Source organism: Homo sapiens, chromosome 4 (genome assembly GCF_000001405.40).
Source record: "Homo sapiens chromosome 4, GRCh38.p14 Primary Assembly".
Lineage (NCBI taxonomy): Eukaryota > Metazoa > Chordata > Mammalia > Primates > Hominidae > Homo > Homo sapiens.
In genome coordinates, this window is record NC_000004.12 from 126805922 (window position 1) to 126811088 (window position 5167).

General features: G+C 29.8%; 2 annotated features.

The window, feature by feature from the left end:
- Window positions 389–558: an enhancer, noted in NCBI's record as "experimental_73157 CRE fragment used in MPRA reporter constructs". NCBI's record gives its function as "activates a minimal promoter by MPRAs in K562 erythroleukemia cells, with activity observed for the introgressed 4:127727550 or rs17011663 variant allele {active_cell/tissue: K562}" and the evidence as "EXISTENCE:reporter gene assay evidence [ECO:0000049][PMID:34662402]".
- Window position 474: a transcriptional cis regulatory region, noted in NCBI's record as "Neanderthal adaptively introgressed variant 4:127727550 (GRCh37/hg19 assembly coordinates) or rs17011663 in the experimental_73157 CRE". NCBI's record gives its function as "modulates activity of the experimental_73157 enhancer by MPRAs in K562 erythroleukemia cells {active_cell/tissue: K562}" and the evidence as "EXISTENCE:reporter gene assay evidence [ECO:0000049][PMID:34662402]".

The window sequence follows — 5167 nt, forward strand, 5'->3', positions numbered from 1 at the left end:
AAATATTTTTTTTTCACATAACCTCCTTGATATCCTATTTTTCTTGTTTTTTAAAAATGGAATTCTAGTAAAACTTGACAGAGTTTAGCGGCAATTTCCATTCTGCTAGAACCCTGCGAATAAGATATTATTTTCACTACCTCCAATTGCACTGAAATCTGATTTGACTGTAAAAAAGTTCAAATCCATGGGGCATTTCTACTATATTTATATATTTTTTAAAAAACCAAAATATTTATGTTAAAAGGTTATGGAGTTGACTTCTGTGTATTTCATGAAGAGCCAAATTTCCTACCAAATTCTCATGATATGAACTCAAAGTTTAAAAACTACTTAACTACTGAACTACTTAATGAAAAAAACAAAATTTTGTATTTTGTGGCTTTCGCCACATGGAACAAATCAGGATTCAAACATAAACTAAAAAATCTGTTAATCTTCTCAGCATTTCCAAATATCTATAAATTTTGTGCTTTTTAGATGTTTGAGTTTTTAAATCATGTGTTTTGTGTCACATAACATACAATAACTAAGTATTGACTCGCTTGGACTACTTTAGGCCTGAAAATCATTTGCACTAATTCTATTTGTTATTTATTTCCAGAATAGGATTTGTCATTGCATAATGTAGAACCTCAACATTTGAAAAAAATGTAAAAAGTGTAAAAAAACAAGAAATGTCTGTAGTACTTTGGAATCATTAAATGTAATATCTCAAAAAGAGGCTGGAAAAACAAATTATTAAATCTAAAGTAATAGTACCATTTCCAAATACAAATAAAAATACAATTGATACTCAATTTTTTAAATGATAGTATTATACAGGCATGCTTGTTTTTGCTTAGTTACAGCACATCAGGAATCACCTAATGCACTACTTACTTCTCTGAATACCTTCAGGTACTTTCAATCTTTTTGATAAAAGCATATTGAATCTAGTACTCCTCTAAACTGACAAGGGAGAAGCAGAACAGATAAGGAAAGAGAAAAATAATATGAAAGGAATTGACAGCCAGAAAGATATTGACGAGATGATGAAGGGAACAGAGATAGTTTACTATATGTAAATGTGGGCTTTTAATATTTTAAAAAAAATACCTGTTGAATTTCTGGAATCTAATTTTGACTTCTTCCTCTTTGATTATGTGAATCATTAGTGTGTTGCTGTTCAATATCTTTTGATGAACACTGTATTTCCTTTGGAAATTTTAACTACTCAGTTTCACATATGCTGCACAGTGTGATTTGATACAGACTCATGAAATTATAGCAACGTATTGACTGATTCCATGGTCCCTGCCTCTTTGCATGCCTGAGGATATGCTACAGAACAAATCAACAACACACTCATGACAGTCTCAGGGACAGATGCTCAGTGGGAAAAACTGTTCACCATTCATGGCTTCCAAGCCCTTTGCTGTGCCCTGAGGCACTGCTATGTAAAAGAATGTGCCAAGTGATTGGTGAAAGAAATGGATCAGCAAGTTTCCACCAGCTGTGACACACAGCATTGGGAGATGACTATTTATTGCTGTTGTGTTAGGCTTCTCACACCATTTTCTGCTTGAGCTTGATAAATTTGATCTCTATAAATGCTAGATTTTGCCAACAAGCCAAGAAGTTTTCAGAAACCTCCCTCATACTTTTATTGTGAGAAAATGCAAATGATCTTGTCGTTAGGGAAAACTGATCTAAGAAAACCTTTTGTAAATTATTCCATGGAGGAAAAACAACTGTCAAGGAAAGATGTGATTTTTGATTATCCTTGGATCCATTGTTATAGTGACAGATTTTTCTCGGTGACACTGTCTTCAGCATAGGTTAGACTCATAAGGATCTTTGGAGAAAAGTTTGAACTATATTATTTTTGAAGCAAATGAGAATTGTTTCTTTATTTGCTGGATATTTTATTGAGATTTATAATTATCATTATAATAAGTTTAAATATGAGTGATTCTTTTATGAGTGCTTATATGTTTATGTTAATACGTGGAATCTCTTGAGATTGCTCTAGACCTACTACATAATATGATTTTTGCTGTAATATGATTGCCTTAAATTTAAAATAGTATAATAGTTGATCCTTAGACATAACATTTCTACAAATGAAAGATTGTGTTTAATTCACAATTAATTTGGGTTTTCATTGCCAATTAGGTGGCACTGAATCAAAAACAAATAACATATTATCAGTTAGACAGGGCATTTTATACACTTTCTAGTTCATCACTTTTCCTCCATTTATCTTACATATTTTAATAAACTATTTGAAATCAAAGTAGTTTGAAAGACCAAATAAATAATAGTGAAAGAAGATGAGGTCTGATAAATTAAGAAAGTGCACATCCAAACACAGGAGGGCAAATCTGGAGTTCAAAATAATATTAAGCAACAAACAAAAACTCTAGATCCAAGATGGTATATCATTCCCATGTGGCCTCTAGATAGCTCAAAAAAGTGATTGTTGATAGCACATATGCACACCCTTAAAGCATTACACTGAAAAAAATTAAACTCTTGTATTCTAATCAACTGCTGATTTTAAAACACTATACAAGATGATATTTGCCCCATGAAACAAATTGAATTTTTTTTATGATTAAGTATAGAGTTTGTTTGAGTGCAAACTTGAGGATAGCCACCTGGAAAACACAGACTGCAAATGAAGATCAGTGTTCCAAAGTAAAGAAGTTGAAGATTCACTTAATAGGCAGAGACAGAGAAGTGTTATCAGGATTATAACATCAATTGAATATTTTTAATTTTCATCAAAAAACAGAAATATAAATACTAGAATTTATAGCGCTCAATAATGTATAATGAATAATTTCACATAAATGAATAGAAAAGCACATATTACTTTTAGCCTGATGGAGACAAAAATTTTCTCAAAGATAATTGTAGTTAGAAACATATGGATATCATTAAAGAAAATATGCATTTTTAAACAATATGCTAAATAAATATTACACAATAATTTACATGCACTGATAAACATTTATGCTTCAACTATAATCATAAATTATATCCAAAGTAAAGTAATGTGAGCTCAGATCGTCAGTGTGATAGGAACTCAAAGAGTAACAGTAAAATATACAAAATCAAAGTTCAAATCAAAATAAGTCTTGACAGAAAATTATACCATAATCTACAATCTCTTCCTTAGACCTTGTTGATATTTTACAAGTTAAGAAATAAAACAAAGCATGTATGTATATTCTACATAGATGGAAGAAAAGGGTGGAAAGAGAAAAATGACAATTTGTTATAGAACTTAACCAAGGTTTAACTCACACATGCTTTCTTAATGAAATCACAGATGCTAAAATTGTGCTGTATCAAATTATACAGAAATATACCAAAATCAGAGATCCTTCAGCTCAATCTAATACTTGGTTCTTGTAGTACTCTGACAAAGTTCATTTGAGATCATCTTACATAATTTGTCTTTATTGAATTAAGTAATTTAAAAGAACATATCATTTTATTATTTATTATATAACAAATGTAGTGCTCAAAGACCCAACATTTAACATGCTAGGATTCGTCAAAAGTTGCAATTACAATTGCTTAACTTTCAGATAGAGAAAAAATAACTCAGCAAAAATCTAGGTTACAACATTTCTGTTGTTTGAGATTTAAAAAAAATATTTCCACAAACTTTTAAACCTTATCAAAACAGTTATATCAAAAGGTTAAAACTCACAGTGTAAAAAACAATTTGAAATTTTTGTATTTTCTTTAATGATTATTTCTGGTAATCAGAAATAATGATGAAGGTATAAGAGTGATGAATTTACGTTAGAAAACCTTGAAGAATTATAAAAAAGAGACCTAGAAAAGGGGGTATGGTGTCTGCTTCATAACACATGGAAACTTTCCTTTAATTTTGTTGTTGTTGTTGTTATTGAAAACAAGCATGTATAAAATCATAAGACATAATTAGAGATACCAGCTTAACATCCTGTCTTTATTGCTTATAAAGCTAAAATCCAAGCAGGAGCATGAAGGTACAAGAGTAATGAATTTACCGTTAGAAAATCTTGGACCAAATCCCACCTCCAATTATTAGAGAAAAAGTTAACTTAACAAGGCTGGGGCTTTGTTTATCACTATGTAAAATGAGAATAATAATATCTGCCATACTTCCTTGAGAACTTCACTGAGAATTACATAAATTGCTTCTGTGGAAGTGCTGTGTGAAATGCCGTATCATAAATATGCTATTATTTTATTATCACATTCACTAATAATGTAATAAAAGTCTTATGTTAACATAAACTCTGGCACTCACACATATCAAATTTATTTTTGCAAATTTTCAGTGCCTGGAGCCACAGATCATTTAAAATGTCATTCTAATACTATAATTATTTTAGTAAGACTTCCCCTGAAAATTGTATAACATAGTATTTGCAAGTAAATATTTTAATGAATACTTCAGCATGTTACATGAGTATGTATGGTAATTTAAACTTTAATAAATATTTTCTGATGTTATTCAGAATTCTTAAATAACCAATCTAGTTTTTTTTTTTTTAAAAAAGAAAGAGCAATACACAATTTTTACAGTTTATCAGTACAGTGCTTCCACCCGACCCCCTACCCCCATAGGCCACTTTATTGTAAAACACTGAATACAGGATACAGAAAATGTTTTATCATGGATCTACTCTGATATATGATAGATTTTAAATTTCACATTATTTTTGAATAGGACCACTGCAAGTTAAGAAATTAATAATAAAATATGTCCCTGGTAGAAGTAAATCAAATCTTTTCTCAAGCTTCACAGGATATCCCAAGCTAAAGGTATGCTGAAAAGAAGTTCACAATTCCAAAATTATTAAACACTGTAAGCAAAATTCAGCAGTCATAATACCAATAGAATCAGGCAATAAAGAACTTCAACAAGTAATCCTATCAGATAAAAATATAAAATAACTATTTGAAATAAATAACAAAATATAATAATCAGTTACAATTTTTTAAACTCTCAAAATAGAATATTGGAGAAATATGAGGATAAAATGAAATTATGAAGACAAATAAACAAAAAATATGAGAGAATAGTTAAGTGGTATCAAGGATAGAATGAAGAAATTTGTTTTGACTAATAGGATTTCCAAATTGGAAGATCAGATAGAATGCAGAGAGGCAAAATTTG